Raw genomic sequence first — 21,787 nt, forward strand, 5'->3', positions numbered from 1 at the left:
GCTCCCTTGAGTACCAGTAAAACCTGCAGTTTAACATCAGCAAGTTAATTAACTATTAAAATAATCCCGTGCTTGTTTAGTCACAACTATTCATTGTGAATCAAAGCAAATAAGGGGACATAGGATGTTTCCAAATGGAATGGCACCTTTGTGGAGGAAACAAGCAAGCAGACAGGCCCATACCACACAAACCCAGATTCTTAGGCAGCTGTACCTGGGCGGGGGATAAAAGGAGACAGAGGCTCTCTGTACTGCGAAGCCGCCTTCTGCTGTTCTATAGATCAGCGCCAGGTGGGGGACCCAAGTGCCTGTGCACATGGTTGACAAGAATTGCCGAGGCCTCTGAACAGATCGGGTGAGCTGATAATAACAGCAAGAGCTACAGAGCCGGGCCCTGAGCTGAGCTCTTTAAACTCAAGTATAACATTTAAATAGGGTTGCCAGATCTGGCAAATTAAATACATGATGCCCCGTTAACTTTGAATTTCAGATAAACAGCAAGTGACTTTTTTAGTTGGCTAAACAATTGTTAGGCTAATCCTAACAACTGTTGCTGTTTATCTGAAATTCCAGGATAATTGGGCCTCCTGTATTCTATCTGGCAATTTAAGATCTAAAATCCTTCTGTTCTTAAGTTGGAAATGCAACCTTCTTTTTCACTTCGTTGGGTTTGAATTGTGGGTAGCACCATCAGGGTGGGAACCTGCTGGGCACCTTACTCCCTCACCACTACCCCGGGCACCCCAGTGACTATGGGAGCCCACTGTCTCTGGGAAACACAACATCTCAGTGCATGCACAGGAGACCCCAACAAAACCCCTTTGGCAGGCTGGAGTGAAAGCTGTCGGCATCTGGGTAGGATCACAGAATAACAACCCTCTCCCCATTTTGATGAACTGGACTGCAGGGACCCAGCCTGCTATAGCCTAGGCCTGTCCCAAGGATGGGTCTGTGCTAACAATGGTTTCTTGGTTCCTTTCATTCTTGCCCCACAAGATCCATTCTGTTTTCTTGGAGGTAGAAGTTGACCTACAAGGAGGATAGAAAAAACTAGAAATAAGGCATTTCCCCCAATTCTGGGCTCAGCTCTCCTGTGGCCACCTGGTCCTCTCCCCTCCTACCCACCCAGGAGGCTTGGAGGATGAGCCGCTCACATTGAAGGGCCTCGAGTGGCACTTCCCAGTCTGGACTCTCCAGTCCTTCCAGCAGCCCCCATCTGAGCAAAGCAGTGTAGCCCCCGCCTCCTACCGTCTCTATTGGTGTCCATCTGGCGGAAGATCTTTTCTGTTCTTTTCTCTGGGGTTGACTCATCTTCAGGCATTTTCATTACAGAGGAAACCATCTTATAGATTGCCTGGGGACAGAAGCGACATGGTGGTAAGACAGAAAAACAGTATGGCACACAATAGACCTATCATTAAACCTCCCAAATGCGGGCTGAAGGGAATGTCCCCATCCGCATTGGACCTAGTCCTACCCCTATTGATTGGTATAAGATGTGGAGGCACAGGTAGAAGAAGCCGGGCCCACAAAGCTTGTTCTCCTCCAGTGAGGACCTTCAGGAGGGACAACCAGCAGGAAGACCCAGTAGACCCCTGTGTCTCCAATGTTTTTTGATTGTTTTTTGAGACAGGGTCTCATTCTGTCACCCAGGCTGGAGTGTAGTGGCACGCTTACGGCTCACTGCAGGCTCCATTTCATAGGCTCAAGCAATCCTCCCACCTCAGTCTCCTGAGCAGCAGCTGGGACTAGAGGTACTCCCCACCACACAGGGCGTTTTTTTTTTTTTTTTTTTTTTTTTTTTTTTTTCTGTACAGACAAGGTCTCATTATGTTGCCCAAGCTGGTCTCGAACTCCTGGGCTCAAGCTTCTCCTCCCTCAGCCTCCCAAAGTGCTGGGATTACAGACATGCGCCACCTCTCCTAGCCGTCTCCATTGTTTATGTGCATACAAATCCCCTGGGAATCTTGTTAAAATGCAGAATCTGATTGGGTAGTGTGGGGGAAAGGGGTGGGGCTGAGAGTCTGTATTTTTAATAAGCTCCGGTGTGATGCTGATGCTGCTGTTCTGAAGACGCTGCTTTGAAAAGCAAGGTTCCCACTTTGAGGAGCAAGGCTGCAGATGACATTCTTCAGGCTAGAGAGGCAAGTGGATGCCTATCATGGACCCTTGAGAGTCCACAATGACTCCTCAAGGATGACAGACATGTAACACTCTGTAAGTGCATGCCACATGTTTCCCCAGGCAGACTTCTAGTCCATTCCAGTGCTTTTCTCCCTGTGTGTGACAATGGTCTCAAGTTCCTTCTCAGCAAGCTTCCAGGCAGTCCTGAGATGGAAACCACCTGCCATCAGAGCTCTGAATTATTATGCATCCTCAGGCCTGAGCTAAACTGGGTACAGCTATGAGATCTGATGGGCGAAAGAGGATTCTGTGGAGTTTTGTAAGCACTACTGAAACTATCACCCCATGCCTGTGACCTCCACATGGGACTCAGTAAGGGCCCTTTGACCTCTGTGGTCAAAGGTAGTTTTTATTTGGGAAGAGGAATGAAAAGTCATTGTTTTTATCCCCAGATCATGACTTTGCTAATCAGAGTCACTTTGGGCATCTTGGCCCTGGGGACAATTTTTAGAAAAAATAGATTTTGCCAGGGAGTAGGCAGAAAATTTCAGAGAGTTCTGGAGCTCTAGGGGCAGCAAGGCAGGTGCAGAGGACAGAGAAAGGAAAGCAGCTGAGGGGAGTCGCCTCCAAATGGGAAAGGTGAGAGCAGAAAAAGACACTGAAGCTTCACCTGAGCTGCTTTACAGTCTTGCTCAGGACCAACCCTGCCAGAAGTTCCTAACATGTTCTGGATAAGGTAGGGTAAGTACTCTAATCTCAGTCAAAATAAGAATGAAAACAGACTCACCCAGTGTGCTGGCCCTTAGGCTGATCCCATCCCTCAGGGATGCTTCTGGACAGGCTCCCTGAGTCTGTCTCAAACCCACCCAATGTGCTTACTGAACTCCATAGCTGACTCTGCAGCGACTTGGTCTGGGAGGTAAAGCGCAGAGTTAGGGTGCTGTCTAGGATTATGGGTGTCCCTGGGGTAAGCTGAGCCATTTCATTCCCAAGAAATGCTCACTGAAGTGTGCTCTGGAGACAAGAGGGGAGCCATCGTCTGCCCTCCTCATCATGGTCCCCTGCCTGCTGTCATCCCAGCCCAGGTCTGCTCCACCAACTGTGCTGGGGCTGTAGTGCCATGTGCCTCACTGCCGGGGACACGTAAGTTCTTGGGGGAGCTAGGAAAGGCCGGAGAGATGGAGCTGTTTTTGCAAATGGGAGAAGAGAGGCCCTGAGATTTAACACGCCCAGGTGAATATTTAGTAACAGTAGACAGCAGGTGTCTTTTCACACCAGCAAAAGTCTTGAGGTCTAGCAACCTCTCCCCAGCTTGCTTTGCTCCCACAGTGGAAGCTTTTCGTAACTCTTGACATAGTCAAAATGGAATCGGCACCAACTATGAAAACATGCACACCCCTCACATACATTTCAAGCTCATATGATCTAAATATTTGGTGAATTCATAAGCCCAGGAATCTTAGGACAACAATAACACAACATTTAGAAATTGGCATCCCTGCAGATCACATTAGCACAACCTCCTTAAAGGAGAGCGCATGGAGCTGTTTCAGGAGTTGCAGAGGTGTTGCGGGGAAGAGCACTTACAGACAAGGGATAAGTTTATTTTTGCCAGAAGTTTTAAGGGGGCTGTGTATTTATTCATTATCAATCTTCTTTGGGGCTGGATTGTTCCTTCTCCAAGTCTGTTCTGGCCTCAGTAAGTTTGTCTCACGTGGTCCTTCTAGATGCCACTGGCTTTGTGCCTGTGACTGGCCATAGGAGGTGTCTCCCAGCTCAGATGCTCCACAAAGGCTGTTGTCAAGAGTCTGACAACATGATACGCTCCTTGGTGTCCTGGACCAGCAGCTTTGTTTATATTCTTCTCTCACCTGAGTGCTCACCTACCCCATCTCCCCTCCTCCTTGGACTCTTACCCATGTGTTAAGAGCAGATCAAAATGTTACCCTCCTCCAGGAAGCCTTCCATCATCTTCCCTTCTTCTATTGCTATGTGCAATCTCCCTCCCTCTGTGCTAGCAAGGGGCTCCAACCCAACCTCTCTCATATCACTTCCTTCCATTTACCTTGAATTCACACCCAGAATGTTCTCCTTTTAGATGTGAGGGTAGCAGTCACATCTATTTTTTGAATCCCTGATAGTACCTAACATAGGGTCTTGAATACAGTCAACTTCACTTAGTTTAAAGAATTTATTCAGGAATAACTGTCCCCCAGTTGCCCTCTCATTCTTTCCCTCTCTCACCTTTATTCTGCACTGCTCCAATTTATAAAGTTCCCCTTTATCCTTTTATATGTTTTTTTTAGTTTCCTCTTTTCTTTTTCTTCTCTCTCTCTTCACATAATTAAACATATTCATGTGAAACCCCTTAAAGACTTAATCTGTCAAAAGATTTGAGCTTTTCCCTTAGAAACCATGCAAACCCACCCACCATTGCAGACGATCTCAGAGGTTTGGGTATTTAGAAGCTGATCCATAGACCCCAGGTCATGGAAATCCCTGCTCTTAGGTGACTGCCTCTTCATCCATCCACTCACTCAGTCATTCATCAAATATGTATAAGCAACTAATGTGTACCAGGTATTGACATTGACCTAATCCTTTCCCTCATGGTTTTTGCTGTGAAATAAGGCAGACATTAGTAAAATAAAGAAATACATGTAAAACCATTGTTGAGAAAAGTGCTAGAAAGAAGAGTGCATGGCTTCTGTGATGATATAGTGGGAGAGTTAGGTTTTGCCAGGAGGGTTAGGGTAGGCTTCTCTGAGGAATGATGATTGCACAAAGACGTGAAGAAAGCATAGGGCTTAAATAAATCAGGGGTGAGCAAAACACCATGTGGAAGCCCAGAGTGGGAGCGTGGCAAGGAGGTCAACAGAGTGTGGGGGCGTTCAGTACACAATGTGGCTCTAGAGCAAGCAGGGAAAGACCACTGAGGCCTCACAGTGTTTAGGGATCTGTATTTCTCCAACGAGCAACAAAAGATGGAAGTGACATTAAATTTGATTTTCCTATTCACATTCATTTCCCAAATTTACCTCTCTTCCCTTCCTTACTTGCAGTCAGTGGTGTTCAGAGAATTGAAAAGTAGTCATTTGCAACATACCAGAATCTCTGGGAGACAGCTAAAGCTGTGTTAAGAGGGAAATTTATAGCACTAAATGCCCACATCAGAAAGCTAGAAGGATCTCAAATCGCCACTCTAACATCACAATTAAAAGAGCTAGGGAAGCAAGAGCAAACAAATCCAAAAGCTAGCAGAAGAGAAGAAATAACTAAGATTAGAGCAGAACAGAAGGAAACAGAGACACAAAAAACCCTTCAAAAATCAATGAATCCAGGAGCTGTTTTTTTGAAAAAATTAACAAAATAGACCACTAGCTAGACTAATAAAGAAGAAAAGAGAGAATAATCAAATAGACACAATAAAAAATGATAAAGGGTATATCACCACCGACACCACAGAAATATAAACTATCATCAGAGAATACTATAAACATCTCTATGCAAATAAACGGGAAAATCTAGAAGAAATGTATAAATTCCTGGACACATACACCCTCCCAAGACTAAACCAGAAAGAAGTTAAATCCCTGAATAGACCAATAACAAGTTCTGAAATTGAGGCAGTAATTAATAGCCTACCAACCTAAAAAAGCCCAGGACCAGATGGATTCACAGCCAAATTCTACCAGAGATACAAAGGGGAGCTGGTACGATTCCTTCTGAAACTATCCCAAACAATTGAAAAGGAAGGACTCCTCCCTAACTCATTTTATGAGGCTAGTATCATTTTGATACCAATGCCTGGCAGAGACACAACAAAAAAAGAAAATTTCAGGCCAATATCCTTGAAGAACATCGATGGAAGAATCCTCAATAAAATACTGACAAGCCAAATCCAGCAGCACATCAAAAAGCTTATCCACCATGATCAAGTTGGCTTCATCCCTGGGATGAAGGCTAGTTCAACATATGCAAATAAATAAACATAATCCATCATATAAACAGAAACATATAAATGACAAAAAACACATGATCATCTCAATAGATCAGAAAAGGCCTTTGATAAAGGCCTTCATGTTAAAAACTCTGAATAAACTAGGTATTGATGGAACATATCTTAAAATAATAAGAGCTATTTATGACAAACCCACAGCCAATATCATACTGAATGGGCAAAAGCTGGAGGCATTCCCTTTGAAAACTGGCACAAAACAAGTATGCCTTGTCTCACCACTCCTATTCAACATAGTTGGAAGTTCTGGCCAGGGCAATCAGGCAAGAGAAAGAAATAAAGCATATTCAAATAAGAAGAGAGGAAATCAAATTTTCTCTGCAGATGACATGATTCTATATTTAGAAAACCCCATCATCTCAGCCCCAAAACTCCTTAAGCTGATAAGCAACTTCACAAAGTCTCAGGATACAAAATCAATGTGGAAAAATCACAAGCATTTCTATACACCAACAATAGACAAGCAGAGATCCAAATAAAAATGAACTCCCATTCACAATTGCTACAAAGAGAATAAAATACCTAGGAACACAGCTAACAAGGGAGGTGAAAGATCTCTTCAAGGAGAATTACAGACCACTGCTCAAGTAAATAAGAGAGAACATAAACAAATGGAGAAACACTCCATCCTCACGGATAGGAAGAATCAATATTGTGAAAATGGCCATACTGCCCAAAGTAATTTAAAGATTCAATGTTATTCCCATCAAACTACCATTGACATTCTTCATAGAACCAGAAAAAAAAATTTAATTTCATATGGAACCAAAGAAGAGCCTGTATAGCCAAGACAATCGTAAGCAAAAAGAACAAAGCTGGAAGCATTACATTACCTGACTTCAAACAATATTACAAGGCTACAGTAACCAAAAGAGCATGGTACTGGTACCAAAACAGACATATAGACAAATGGAAGAGAACAGAGACCTCAGAAATAACACCACACATCTACAACCATCTGATCTTTGACAAACCTCACAAAACAAGTAATGGGGAAAGGATTCCCTATTTAATAAATGGTGCTGGAAAACTGGCTAGCTATATGCAGAAAACTGAAACTGCACCCCTTCCTTACACCTTATACAAAAATTAACTCAAGATAGATTAAAGACTTAACTGTAAAACCCAAAACCATAAAAACCCTAGAAGAAAACCTAGGCAATACCATTCAGGACACAGGCATGGGCAAAGACTTTATGATGAAAACGCCAAAAGCAAAAAAAGCCAAAACTGACAAATGGGACCTAATTAAACCAAAGAGCTTCTGCACAGCAAAAGAAACTATCATCAGAGTGAAGAGGCAACCTACAGAATGGGAGAAAATTTTTTTCAATCTACCCATCTGACAAAGGTCTAATATCCAGAATCTACAAGGAACTTAAACAATTTTACAGGAAAAAAAAAACCATCAAAAAGTGGGCAAAGGATATGAACAGACACTTCTCAAAAGAAGACATTTATGCAGCCTACAAACATATGAAAAAGCGTATGATCATTAGAGAAATGCGAATCAAAACCTCAATGAGATACCATCTCATGCCAGTCACAATGGTGATTATTAAAAAGTCAAGAAACAATAGATGCTGGTGAGGCTGTGGGGAAATAGGAATGCTTTTACACTGTTGGTGGGAACATAAATTAGTTCGACCATTGTGGAAGACAGTGTGGCGATTCCTCAAGGATCTAGAACCAGAAATACCATTTGACCCAGCAATCCCATTACTGGGTATATACCCAAAGGAATATAAATCATTCTACTATAAAGACACATGCACATGTATGTTTATTGCAGTACTATCTACAATAGCAAAGATATGTAATCAACCCAAATTCCCATCAATGATAGGCTGGATAAAGAAAATATGGCACATATACACCATGGAATACTATGCAGCTATAAAAAGGAATGAGATCATGTCCTTTGCAGGGACATGGATGAAGCTGGAATCCATCATCCTCAGCAAACTAACACAGGAACAGAAAACCAAACACCACATATTCTCACTCATAAGTGGGAGCTGAACAATGAGAACACATGGACACAGGGAGGGAACAACACACACTGGGGCCAGTTGTGGGGTGGGGGTCAAGGGGAGGGAGAGCATTAGGACAAATATCTAATGCATGCAGGGCTTAAAACCTAGTTGATGGGTTGATAGGTGCAGCAAACCACCATGGCACACGTATACAAACCAACACGTTCTGTGCGTGTATCCAAGAACCTAAAGTAAAATTTTAAAAAAAGAAAACTAGTCATTTGTAAATTATTTAATAATTATGTATTGTCCACTATGAGCTAAGCAGTGGAGATACAATTGTCAACAAGACTGATATGCTCTCTATTTTTATTTATTTATTTATTTATTTATTTATTCATTTATTTATTTATTTTTTGAGAAAAGGTCTCATTCTGTTGCCCAAGCTGGAGTGCAGTGATGCTATCATGGCTCACTGCAGCCTTGATCTCCTGGTCTCAGACAATCCTCCTGTCCCAGCCTCCTGAGTTGCTGGGACCAAAGGCATGCACCACCACGCCCAGTTAATTTTTTAAAAAATATTTGTAGAGATGGGGTTTCTCTATGTTGCCCAAGCTGGTCTCGAACTCCTGGGCTTCCTGCCTCAGTCTCCCAAAGTGCTGGAAATACAGGCGTGAGCCACTGTGCCTGGCCGCTCTCTCTTATTTCATGTCTCACAATCTTCTAGCACAGGACTTGGGAGGTCTCATATGTGGCACAAAAAGCACCTTATTTTTCAATGATCCCCATTTAGATGGGTATAGTCATCCCAGTAATGCCTTGATAGCTGTTATGAAAGCCCTTGCCTAGGCTACCTCTGGGTCCCCTGGTGGCAAGTAAAACCCACTGGTCTGGAGCACTCTTTGGACCTTTCAGCCTCTAAGGTTGTGGCCCACGAAATTCTTCTTCTTGGGATTCTGATGAAAAATCAACTGTGTAATAATCTAGGGGTTATTCCCTTAACACTCCTGAAGAAATGAATGAAAGCTCAAGCAAGCACATGAATGTATGTGAAGCTCTCACACTCAACGGAAAGTCTTCCAGTCTTGCTATTCAGTATTAGGCTAAAGGAGTGGGGTTGGCACAGAGAAACGAGAATCAGTTAATACAACAAACAACTCCCACTACTTCCCCCACAAAATGAACGGCGTCCGAAGTCCCCGATGTGAACATATGTGCAAGCAGGGCTTCTGGAATGGGGTGGGAGGCACCACGTCTGAGTGTGTTGTGGGTTTGAGGAGGAAGTGGGGTCTTCTTTAAGAGGCTCACAGATGACTCTTTCGTGACACTCAGATCAGATGGGAATTAGTGGGTTATTTACAAAGCCAGGCCTATGCCAGGGGTGGTACAAGAACGGTGAGCAGAGAGTCGAGGTGACGAGTCCCAATGGCCCCCAGAGTGAGTGGGTGACAGCCCTGCAGAGCCACAGTGGCAGGATTGTCTGTCCCTTTGCTCCCTTCCCACGGCATCAACAACCGAGAGCTGATTGTATCAGAACTTTAAAATCTGGGACTGCATAGCACAGAGGAGAAAAATACAACCCCAGACAGCCATCTGAGACAAATCATGTCTTTTACTAGCTTCAGTCCCCACCCCTTCTACATTTAATGGGATTAAACCGTGAAGAGACCAGGCTACTTCCCTACTTTATTTTTAGCAATGTCAATGAGAGGTCTAGCAGGGTCATCCTGTTTTCAATTAAACTTGAAAAGTCCTTTTCTTGTCTCTGGGTAAATGCAGAGCTTTGGGACACCCAGGAGCCCAGCCCTGACTCTGCCCCAGCCAGGCTTGAGACAGCTCCCCAGTGTGACCAGAGCCCCTATCAGCTTCCTTGTGGTCTACATATATTTATTTTTAATTTTTCTCTTTGAAGGAACAACCTCTTGGGATGTTGGAAAGAGAGGACTCAGGTCTGGGAAGGGAGGACTCAGGTCTGCATTGATCAAGGTTGTGCAATTAACTGAGGGCAGGCAAAATTCCAAGAGTTAACACTCAACCTGTTTTCTGAAGGAAACCAGATATTTCATCACAAAATGTAGGGTGTTCTAACAGGAAACCAGACACCCACGTCTCTCTGACAGCAGACTACGGACAACAGAAGTTTGGCAGCACCTGGTTGTCCTTAGACTTTCTCACCTTGCTTAGACTAAGCACCTTGCTTAGAAGGATATTACATATCAGGAAAGGAGAAGAATGAAAATATTTTCAGGAAATACTTTTAAAATAGAATGAACACCTATATATCTGGAATAGCATAAGTACTTTCTCATTTAGAGCTAGAAGAATCAATTAAATCAGTAATTGTCATATTTTTGTAGTATTCTTCCAAGGTGCTTTAAGCATTTTCACAGGCAGAGAGAGTGTGAGAGACAAGCAGGAGCCCCACGCCTTTTCAACCGAGCAGTTCCATGTAAGATTTCACGTAAGATTTTACTCAGAAAACGAAGCAAAACAAAACCATTTTTGCTGCTGAAAATGGAGTTTGAACCACTGAACCACTTTGTGTACTGGTCCCTTTGTGATAGTGTCATTCTTTTTTTTTTTTCTTTGAGACAGGGTCTCACTCTGTCTCCCAGGCTGGAATGCAGTGGCGTGATGATAGCTCACTGTAGCTTCGGACCTCCTGGGCTCAAACCATCCTCCCACCTCAGCCTCCCGAGTAGCTGTCTGAGACCACAGGCATGTGCCACCACACTGGGTAATTTTTTTTTGTAGAGACAGAGTCTCACTATGTTGCCCAGGCTGGTCTGAAACTCCTGGGCTCAAGAGATCTTCCTTCCTCAGCCTCCCAAAGTGTGGAAATTACAGGTGTGAGCCACCATGCCCAACTAGATACTATGATTCTTAAATGGAATGAGAATGTCCAAGATCTGTACACTGTACTCTCTGCACACTAGGGGAGCTTACTATTTAGAATAACCCAGCACTATGCCCTTTTATAACTTGAAGACTTATGGGAAGTTAGATGTAGCCTTAACATGGGAAGAACTTTATGTTCTGTGGTGCGCAACGGCAGAAGAGCAAGAGGCTGCTCCGCAGAAGTGGCCTCATGGATATTGGAGATACAGAAACAAACGCTGAACAATCACACATTGACGATGCTATAAAGGTGTCTCCCAATGTGCTTTCCAAGAAATGTCAGCCTTCCAAGATGTGTTAAGATCAGAGAGATCCCATCATCAAAACAGTATTGGGAAACACTGCTTATTTTATCCCCTTCTCAAAACATCACAATGCACACGAACATATTAAAGATTCTGGTAATTCCTGCAGTAAGAGGCGTGTTGAAATCTATTTAACCCAGGTTTTCTCAAACTGGTTTGACCAGAACCCTTTTGTTACAAAACATCTATGAACAGTTTATGAAAGTAGTGCCTCAAGAAAGTTCTATCTGTGCCAGGACTGACTCTTATTCTGACTCCCTCTTCATCTGGGCTGCGTTCTCTGTTCCTCTTTTTTTTTTTTTCCCCCAAAACAAGTAGCCTAGAATGCTTCTTCATGAGATTTGTCTTCCCAGTGGTTTCTAAGTTTTTTCAAGACAGAGATATTGTAGATATTGTCTTATTCATCTTTGTATGTTTTGGAGTCTAACACTTACTTTATTCAACAAACATTTGTGGACTTTATGAATAGCACAAAAATGGTGCTAAATCCCTTGGCATCAGCACAGCCCTGCCTTGAAGGAGCTCACAGGACAGGTGGCAGCAGGACAGGTCAACACAGAAAACATCAGCATGAGATTAGAGAGTGTGGCTTCTGGCCAAGATAGAGTCACAGGGATTGAATCTATCCCCTCCCACCCGAAGCAGCAGCAACCACAAACCCAAAAAACAATGGACATGAAACAACAGTTTACCAGACGCTGGGAATTGGGCAACGAAGGACAGTGATCCCTGAGAAAATGAAAACATGAGAGCTAAGTCCTATGTTGGCCCCAGCTTAATGCCTTGAGAGGGTTTCCAAGCCACAGTGCCAGGAGCAGGGACCTATGTGATACCTGGTGGACTCACTGATGGGCAGATGGCGCTGAGAGTTTGGAGACACTAAAGTGGCTAGTGATCACTGGACAGAATAAAAGAGAAGAGAGAGTGGCACAGAGAGAACTCCAGAGAGCTGTGGCAGGTCTCCCTCAAGTATTCAGCACAGTCAGTCTACACAAGACTGACTACACACAAGACAGTCTACACAAGTCCTGGGAAGAAACTACCCAGGACTGGGAAAAAAGAACCAAGTGAAAGGATTAGAGGAAAGACTGCCTGGCCCTCCCACAAGGTCAAGAACCGTGCCTGTTTCCATCAGCCAGAGGGAGAGCCTCATGATTTGTGGGGCACTGGCTAGTCAGAAAGGTCTGGCCTCAGTAGTGGGAATAATCAGTCCTAGCTGAGTGCTGCTCTCGTGTCAGCTAATGAATCTGAAAAGCAAGACCTGGAAAGTTCAAACTGTTTCCAAGTAATTTAACTGTGTCTCGGAAGAAAGTTTAAGAACATTTATAGAGCTATAAAAATATCCAGCACTCAACATGGTAAAATCCTGTTGAAGAGACCATAAAGTAATTATATCTTTTAGTGGAGTGGTTCATGATTAGAAAACAGCAATCTACTTGAAATTAACAACAACAAAAAAGAAAGCATTATTATGATGGAGATCAACAACAGAGTTAAATGCATAGGACTGGGGTGTGGGGGGCAGAGGAGACACCTCCACTGAGTGAGAGGGAAATGTGGTAAGAGTGTACTCTAGGATACCGCATGAGAAAAGGCTGTGGGATGTGAGAGGCCGCGGTGACTTCTGGTATCTGCCAGCTGACACGTAACTGAGGCATGGAGAATTCAAAGATCACAAATGCGAGATGAGTCTTGAGAGAGATGGGGACCCAGTCACAAAGGCTGTTGTATGCCTCGTTAAGAAATTTAGACATCATTTAAAGTGAATGGGGGCCGGGCGCGGTGGTTCATGCCTGTAATCCCAGCACTTTGGGAGGCTGAGGCAGGCGGGATCAGCTGAGGTCAGGAGTTCAAGACCAGCCTGGCCAACATGGTGAAACCCCATGTCTACTAAACATAAACAAAAATTAGCCGGGCATGGTATCGGGCACCTGTAATCCCAGCTACTCGGGAGGCTGAGGCAGAAGAATAGCTTGAACCAGGAGGCAGAGGTTGCAGTAAGCTGAGATCGCGCCATTGCTTTCCAGCCTAGGCGACAAGAGCGAAAACTCCGTGTCAAAAAAATAAAAAATAAAAAATAGGCCGGGCGCGGTGGCTCATGCCTGTAATCCCAGCACTTAGGGAGGCCGAGGTGGGCGGATCACAAGGTTAGGAGTTCGAGACGACCAGCCTGGCCAACATGATGAAACCCCGTCTCAACTAAAAATACAAAAATTAGCTGGGCATGGTGGTGCGCACCTGTAATCCCAGCTACTCAGGAGGCTGAGGCAGGAGAATCGCTGAAACTCAGGAGGCAGAGGTTGCAGTAAGCTGAGTGCAGTGAGCACTCCAGCCTGGGCAGCAGAGCAAGACTTCATCTCAAAATAAATAAATAAATAAATAAAATTAAAATAAAATTTAAAAATAAAAATAAATAAAGTGAATGAGGAGATACTCAAAGATTTTAGGCAGGAGAGAAACATGGTTAACATGATCATATTAGGTCTTGAAAGATTACTCTGGCATCAGTGGGGAAAACCGAATTGGGGAAGGACCTGATCGGAGGCAGGAAGAGCTGTTAGAAACATGTTGTGAAGATCGTATTTTCCAAAAACGGCCAGAACAGGCTTTCTAATCCCACACAATCCTCCAGAACCTCGCCACTGCCTTTCTCGAGGTAAACTCTAGGTCCCCTCCCCTTGAGCCTGGAGGTCTTGGTGAGCCATAGAGACCTCTGTGACTGCCTGGAGTAGGGGTGGACAGGAGAAGTGATGCTCTGTGACCTCCAAAGTCAGATCATAAAAGGAGATACAGCTCTGCCTGGTTCTCTTTCTTGGGACCTGCAGTTTTTAAGCCCTGAGCTGCCATGTGAGGAGTCTGGCCACCCCAAAGCCACCATGGAGGAGAGAGACTACACAGAGGCACAGAGGGAGGTCCCAGGTCCAAGAAGCCTCAGCTGCTCCAGCTCCCAGGCAATTTCGAGCCACCCCAGCTGATGCTGCATGGAACAGAAATGAGATCCCACTGTTCTGCCCAAGTATCAGATTCATGGGCTAAATAAATGATTGTTGTTTTAAGTCAGTAACTTTTGTGTTGGTTTCAATATGCAGAATAGATAACTGGGGAAAAGTTATAATAATATAGATTAGAAATGTGAAGCCTGAAACACAGTAACTCGAGAATGTCTGTTTAGGAGAGTAAAGGCCTCTTTGGAGGGAGTCATCTGAAACTGCCTTTTGCAGAGCACTTCACATAAGATTGGAAAACTATTAATTGCTCATATCTAAAAGTGAAGAGTACCACCACTGACTTGAAATGAGACAGTGGCAGAAGGAATGCACAGGAATGAAAAGGTTAAAAAATACCAAAGAGGCAAATTTAATAGCTCTGGTGACTGTCTAAATGTGGAGATAGATGGTGGAGGAGTGCCAAAGATGTCTCTGACTTGATTAGAGGATAGATAGTAAGACTATTTAAAAAAAAAAAAGGGAGTGGTGGGGAGGTTTGGGCAATGATGAATTTGTTTCTGGAATATTGGCTTTGTACCAGTGCAACATCTTAATAGAGAGGTCCATTAAGAGTTGGACACAGTAGAAATGAAGATCTGGAAGCAATTTGTTTCTTCATCCATAAAATTGGGCTAATATGGTTGTTGTGAGGATTAAATGAGATAGTGCCTTTGTACTAGGTTGAACAATGTCCTGCAAAAATCCTTGTCTATCTGAAACCTGTGAATGTGACCTTGTTTGGAAATAGGGTCTTTGCAGATGCAATCAAGTTAACATGAGATCATCACGAATTTGAGTGCTCCTTAATCCAACAACTAGTGTCTTTATAAGAAGAGGGAAAATTGGACACAGACACACAGGGATAACACCCTATGATGACGGAGGCAGAGAATACAGTGATGCAGCTACAAACCAGGGAATGTCAAGGATTGCCAATAAGCACGAGAAGCTAGGAAGCACTCATTCATGTTTGCCAGATACCATACTTGATTTGACTTAAACTTTTAAGCCATAGTGTGATTTGCAATAAGATAAATCCCCTGATAAGAAAGGGACAAACCCAAAACATCCAATAAGCAAGCACTAAAGTCAGTTCTTGGAGGAAGTCACTAGCCTAAGCAATTGCATTGAAGAGTTTCTTCCAGGAAAGAAATCTAAGTTGCATTCCAGAGCCACATCTGTGGCCCATGCTCATAATTGAGAATTACTCAGGGTTTGGAGCTGAATTCCCAGGGGGTAATGTAAGATGAACTAGAAACTCTTCCCCTGCCCCCTCCTTTTTTTCCCCCAGAATCAGAAGACCACAGTGTTTCAGGTCTCCAAGGCCCATATTAAAAGTGACAGAGTGTCTATTTAGAACAGTCTTTGGGGGAAAAAATGCAAATGGTACTCAGAATGTGCTTCTAAAAAGAATATAAGGAAGTCTCTCTGGCCCTTATTTTGATCCTCTGTGGCAGAACTACTAACAGCCTGGTTGTCTGAATTGGTCAGGTGGGCAGTCTGGAAATGAGTGTGGATTAGTCTGTGTGTTCATCTGGTGCCCGAGGAGGATAAGCTGTTTTTGCATGGCTACCCCCATCCCCATAGCTCCCCATCCTCATCTGGCTGCTGTATAGATATGTATGCCTTATTCATCACAGGGGTGAATCAGAAAATTTTTTTCCCATACTGCTAAAAGTAGCAAAACCAAACTTTCCTGTTGTGGGTTGCCAGTATATTTCCAAATGCCTTCCTTCAGGTTTCACTCATTTAAAAGGTGTGAAGTGTATACTGGGGTGTTTTTAAGTTCACCTTGCCTTCATCAGAAGATGTCAGTTAACCCTGAATCACAACTAGGAGAGAAAGTTTGACTCTAAAACAACAGATATGTAGCTGGGCATGGTAGCAGGTGCCTGCAATCCCAGCTACTTGGGAGGCTGAGGCAGGAGAATCTCTTGAACCCAGGAGACGGAGGTTGCGGTGAGCTGTGATTGCACTACTGCACTCCAGCCTGGACGACAGAGCAAAACTCCATCTCAAAAAATGGTAATAATAAATAAATAAATAAATAAATAATAAATAAATAAATAAAACAGGTATGTGGACTCCAAGATTTTTGAAACAATCATTATTCTAAGTAGTAAAAGTGCTGATTACAAATTATTCTAACCTCGTCTTTAAAGTCAGAGCCCTAAGGACTGCCAGGAGTAACGTGATGTCAGCCTTTGGATGCTTTTCGAAAGGCTCTAACTTGAACTTAAGAACAAACCCAGACAGACTGTCCCCCAAACAGTCTCAATGCATGATGTGTGACTGTGGGCTCAGATCAATAAGGTTTGGGGAATTCCTGGGGCCAACTACATTCTTTCCTGGAAACATGATTATTTCTTTAATCTGAGTCCTGTGAACATCATAGCTCAGAAGTTTTAGCTTGTTCCCAGAGGGGCTGATCTCTGCCGGTAAAGACAGCAGGTAGAGAAGCTAGGGGTCCTAAAGTCAAGAATATCTCTTCTGTGATTTCCACCAATTGGAGATTTAGTGGGACACCTCCCTTTTCTTTGTGAACAAACATGTTATAACAAAATTTAACTGAAAGCTTAATGGAAGATTCTATCCATTACTTTCTCCATTGAAGTGGAAGTGAACTCCCTTCATTTAGTAGGAAGACATCCTGTCCCAGCTCTGGAAATTGTGGCAATAATAATGGTAGCCAACAATTATTGAGTGATAGCCCATGCAGGTGCTGTTCTAGGCACCTTACTTGTAATGACTGATTTAACACTTACAATCATCCATGAGTTAGGTGTTTCGATTAGCTGCAATCCACAAATCCGGAAATGGATGCCAGAGATGTTCAGTAACTTGTACAAGGGCATGTAGGTACTAAGGGAGCAGAATCATGACTGGAAGCCAGGTACTCACCCTGGGGTCTCTACCCTTAATACATGGATCCCTCCACCCCTCAAGATCCCAGAGCACATCTAAGCACTCACAGCAGAATCAGTGACACCGCTGTGTTTGTAAAAGGAGAAGTTGAGCTTGCTGCTCAAGAATAGAAAATTGTGACTCAAGGAGATGGGAAATAAGGAAACGGGAAATTTTAAAAAGGAGAGGAAATATCAATCTGCTTTGTCCAAGATGGCTACTCTTTTTAAAAATGAAGGGTGTCCAGGTTCTTGGCATCTTAAACAAAGAATTGGATAAAACACACAAACAAAGCAAAGAAGGAATGAAGGGACTTATTGAAAATGAAAGTACACTCCACAGTGTGGGAGCGGGCCTGCGCATAGGGGCTCACAGGCCCCATTACAGAATTTTCGAGAGTTTAAATACCCGCTAGAGGATTCCACTGGTTACTTTGGGTACGCCCTACGTAAATGGAGAGGATGAAGTAAAGTTACAGTCATTTATGGTGTACACCCTACGGAGAGGATATTTCCTGTTACAGCTGAAGTGTGAATTGGCCTTATGTTCCCTGCCTCCAGACTCTATTTTCCTGCCTCACCCTCACATGCCTATTCTTCCTTTGGTTCCTTCTTTATCTTTGCTTCAGGTACAGATGGTCTAATGTTGTCTAAGCCTATCATTTTCATTGAGTTGTAAGGATAAAGAATGCAGCGTGTATACATATAGTCAATGAGAATCCTGTAGTTAAAATTTGGCCTTTCAAGGGTCTTAGTTACTTTTGAGAACAGAAGGGAGGCAAATGTAATTCCATTTTCTTCCTACATTAGCTCCCCGGGAGTGCTGTGGTCCCATTGATGGATCCATAAGGTCAACATTCCCTCCACCCCTCAAGATGCCAGAACACATCTAAGCATTTATGGTAGAATCAGTGATGCCACTTGCTTGCTTGGTTGATCCCTTCCTCAGACACACAGCCTGTGCTGTGATGGGTGTGGGTATTCACACCTGTCTCCAGCAGAGCTGAGGGACAGGAACTACGTTGGGCAGGAAGAATTCTTCCTCTTGAGTGGTGGGTTGACCTCAGCCACCAATGGGAGGAGAGAATCTGCTGTAAGATGAGGAAAGGTCAGGGTTCTGATCTGGCCTAAGATTCCTGAGAGATGATTTTTGATGTGATAATAAAATATTGAGCCTAAATCATGTTCCTAAATTTGTCACTTATAAATAAACACATGAGGTTCCTGGGCAAGACAGCCAAATAGGAACAGCTCCAGTCTGCAGCTCCCAGCAAGACCAACGCAGAAGATGGGTGATTTCTGAATTTCCAACTGAGGTACCCAGTTCATCTCATTGGGACTGGTTAGACAGTGAGTACAGCCCACGGAGGGTGAGCAGAAGCAGGGTGGGCTGTTGCTTCACCTGGGAAGTGCAAGGGGTTGGGGAACTCCCTCCCCTAGCCAAGGGAAGCCATGCTGTGAGGAATGGTGCACTCTGGCCCAGACAGTATGCTTTTTCATGGTCTTCACAACCCGCAGACTGGGAGATTCCTTCAGGTGCCTATGCCACCAGGGCCCTGGGTTTCAAGCACAAAACTGGAGGGCCATTTGGGCAGACAACACGCTAGCTGCAGATGTTTTTTTTTGTACTCCAGTGGTGCCTGGAACACCAGCGAGGCAGAGCCATTCACTCCCCTGGAAAGGGGGCTGAAGCCAGGGAGCCAAGTGGTCTTGCTCAGTGGGTCCCACCCCTAAGAATCCCTGCAAGCTAAGATCCACTAGCTTGAAATTCTTGCTGCCAACACAGCAGTCTGATGTTGACCTGGGATGCTCCAGCTTGGTGCAGGGAGGGGCGTCTGCCATTACTGAGGCCTGACTAGGTGGTTTTCCCCCTCACAGTGTAAACAAAGCCACTGGGAGGTTTGGACTGGGCAGAGCCCACCGCAGCACCACAAAGTTGCTGTTGCCAGATGCCTCTCTAGATTCTTCCTCTCTGGGCAGGGCATCTCTGAAAGAAAGGCAGCAGCCCCATTCAGGGGCTTATAGATAAAACTCTCATCTCCCTGGGACAGAGCACCTGGGGGAAGGAGCAGCTGTGGGTGCAGCTTCAGCAGACTTAAACATTCCTGCCTGACAGCTCTGAAGAGAGCAGCGATCTCCCAGCACAGTGCTCAAGCTCTGCTAAGGGACAGACTGCCTCCTCAAGTGGGTCCCTGACCCCCGAGGCTCCTGACTAGGAGATGCCTCCCAGCAGGGGTCGACAGACACCTTATACAGGAGAGCTTTGGCTGGCACCTGGCCAGGTGCCCCTCTGGGATAAAACTTCCAGAGGAAGGAGCAGGCAGCAATTTTTGCTATTCTGCAGCCTCTGCTGGTGATACCCAGGCAAACAGGATCTAGAGAGAACCCCCAGCAAACTCCAGCAGACCTGCAGAAGAGGGGCCTGCCTGCTAGAAGGAAAACCAACAAACAGAAAGCAATAGCATCAACATCACCAAAAAGGACAACCACACAAAAAACTCCAGCCGAAGGTCACCAACAGCAAAGATCAAAGGTAGGTAAATCCATGAAGATGAAGAAAAACCAGTGCAAAAAGCCTGAAAATTCCAAAAACCAGAATGCCTCTTATCCTTCAATGGATCACAACCCCTCGCGGGCAAGGGAATAAAACTGGACGGAGAATGAGTTTGACAAATTGACAGAAGTAGGCTTCAGAAGGTGGGTAATAACAAACTCTTCCGAGCTAAAGGAGCATGTTCTAACCCAATGCAAGGAAGCTAAGAACCTTGATAAAAAGTTAGAGGAGTTGCTAACTAGAATAACCAGTTTAGAGAAGAATATAAATGACCTGATGGAGCTGAAAAAGACAGCACGAGAACTTTGTGAAGCATACACAAGTATCAATACCCAAATCGATCAAGCAGAAGAAAGGGTATCAGAGATTAAGGGTCAACTTAATGAAATAAGGCATGAAGACAAGATTAGAGAAAAAAGAATGAAAAGGAACGAGCAAAGCCTCCAAGAAATACGGGACTATGTGAAAAGACCAAACTTAACGTTTGATTGGTGTACCTGAAAATGACAGAGAGAATGGAACCAAGTTGGTAACACACTTCAGAATATTATCCAGGAGAACGTCCCCAACCTAGCAAGACAGGCCAACATTCAAATTCAGGAAATACAGAGAACACCACAAAGATACTTCTCGAGAAGAGCAACCCCAAGGCACATAATCGTCAGATTCACCAAGGTTGAAATGAAGGAAAAAATATTAAGGGCAGCCAGAAAGAAAGGCTGGGTTACCCATAAAGGAAGCCCATCAGACTAACAGTGGCTCTCTCTGCAGAAACCTTACAAGCCAGTGAGGGTCAATATTCAACATTTTTAAAGAAAAGAATTTTCAGCCCAGAATTTCATATCCAGCCAAACTAAGCTTCATAAGTGAAGGAGAAATAAAATCCTTTACAGACAAGCAAATGCTAAGGGATTTTGTCACCACCAGCCATACAAGAGTTCCCAAAGGAAGCACTAAATATGGAAAGGAAAAACTGGTACCAACCACTGCAAAAACAAACCAAAATGCAAAGACCGTCAACACTATGAAGAAACTTCATCAACTAATGGGCAAAATAAACAGCTAGCATCATAATGACAGGATCAAATTCACATATAACAATAATAATCTTAAATTGTAAATAGGCTAAATGCCCCCAATTAAAAGGCACAGACTGGCAAATTGGATAAAGAGTCAAGACCCATCAGTGTGATGTATTCAGGAGACTCATCTCACATGCAAAGACACACATAGGCTCAAAATAAAGGGATGGAGGAAGATTTACCAAACAAATGGAAAGCAAAAAAAAAAAAAAAAAAAAAAAATAGCAGAGGTTGCAATCCTAATCTCTGATAAAACAGACTTTAAATCAACAAAGATCAAAAAAGACAAAGAAGGGCATTACATAATGGTAAAGGGATCAATGCAACAAGAAGAGCTAGCTATACTAAATATATATGCACCCAATACAGGAGCACCCAGATTCATAAACCAAGTTCTTAGAGACCTACAAAGAGACTTATACTCCCACACAATAATAGTGGGAGACTTTAACACTCCACTGCCAATATTAGACAGATCAACAAGACAGAAAATTAACCAGGATATTCAGGACTTGAACTCAGCTCTGGACCAAGCAGACCTAACAGACATCTACAGAACTCTACACCCCAAATCAACAGTGTATACATTCTTCTCAGCACCACATCACACTTATTCTAAAATTGAACACATAATTGAAAGTAAAACTCCTCAGCAAATAAAAAAGAATGGAAATCATAACAAACAGTCTCTCAGACCATAATGCAATCAACTTAGAACTCAGGATTAAGAAACTCACACAAAACTGCACAAGTACGTGGAAACTGAACAAGCTGCTCCTGAATGACTAGTGGGTAAATAATGAAATTAGGCAGAAATAAATAAGTCCTTTGAAACCAATGAAAACAAAGACACAATATATCAGAATCTCTGGGACACAGCTACAGCAGTGTTTAGAGGGAAATTTATAGCACTAAATGCCCACAGTAGAAAGCAGAAAAT

At 43.7% G+C, this 21,787-nt stretch overlaps 1 protein-coding gene across 24 annotated transcripts in view, besides 1 other annotated feature; it reads right to left on the reverse strand.

The window, feature by feature from the left end:
* Positions 1-21,787, reverse strand: part of NCALD (neurocalcin delta) — a 438,366-nt gene that overhangs the window by 5,001 nt on the left and 411,578 nt on the right. For all 24 annotated transcript variants that reach the window (NM_001040630.2, XM_047422315.1, NM_001040627.2 and 21 more), the window contains one exon: positions 1,249-1,354. In NM_001040630.2, the coding sequence (NP_001035720.1) occupies positions 1,249-1,354 (106 nt within the window). The remainder of the gene's footprint in view (positions 1-1,248; positions 1,355-21,787) is intronic.
* Positions 9,392-9,471: an enhancer, noted in NCBI's record as "active region_27732". NCBI's record gives its function as "activates an Ori minimal core promoter by ATAC-STARR-seq in GM12878 lymphoblastoid cells {active_cell/tissue: GM12878}" and the evidence as "EXISTENCE:reporter gene assay evidence [ECO:0000049][PMID:35858748]".

The sequence above is a fragment of the Homo sapiens genome, chromosome 8, assembly GCF_000001405.40.
Source record: "Homo sapiens chromosome 8, GRCh38.p14 Primary Assembly".
NCBI lineage: Eukaryota > Metazoa > Chordata > Mammalia > Primates > Hominidae > Homo > Homo sapiens.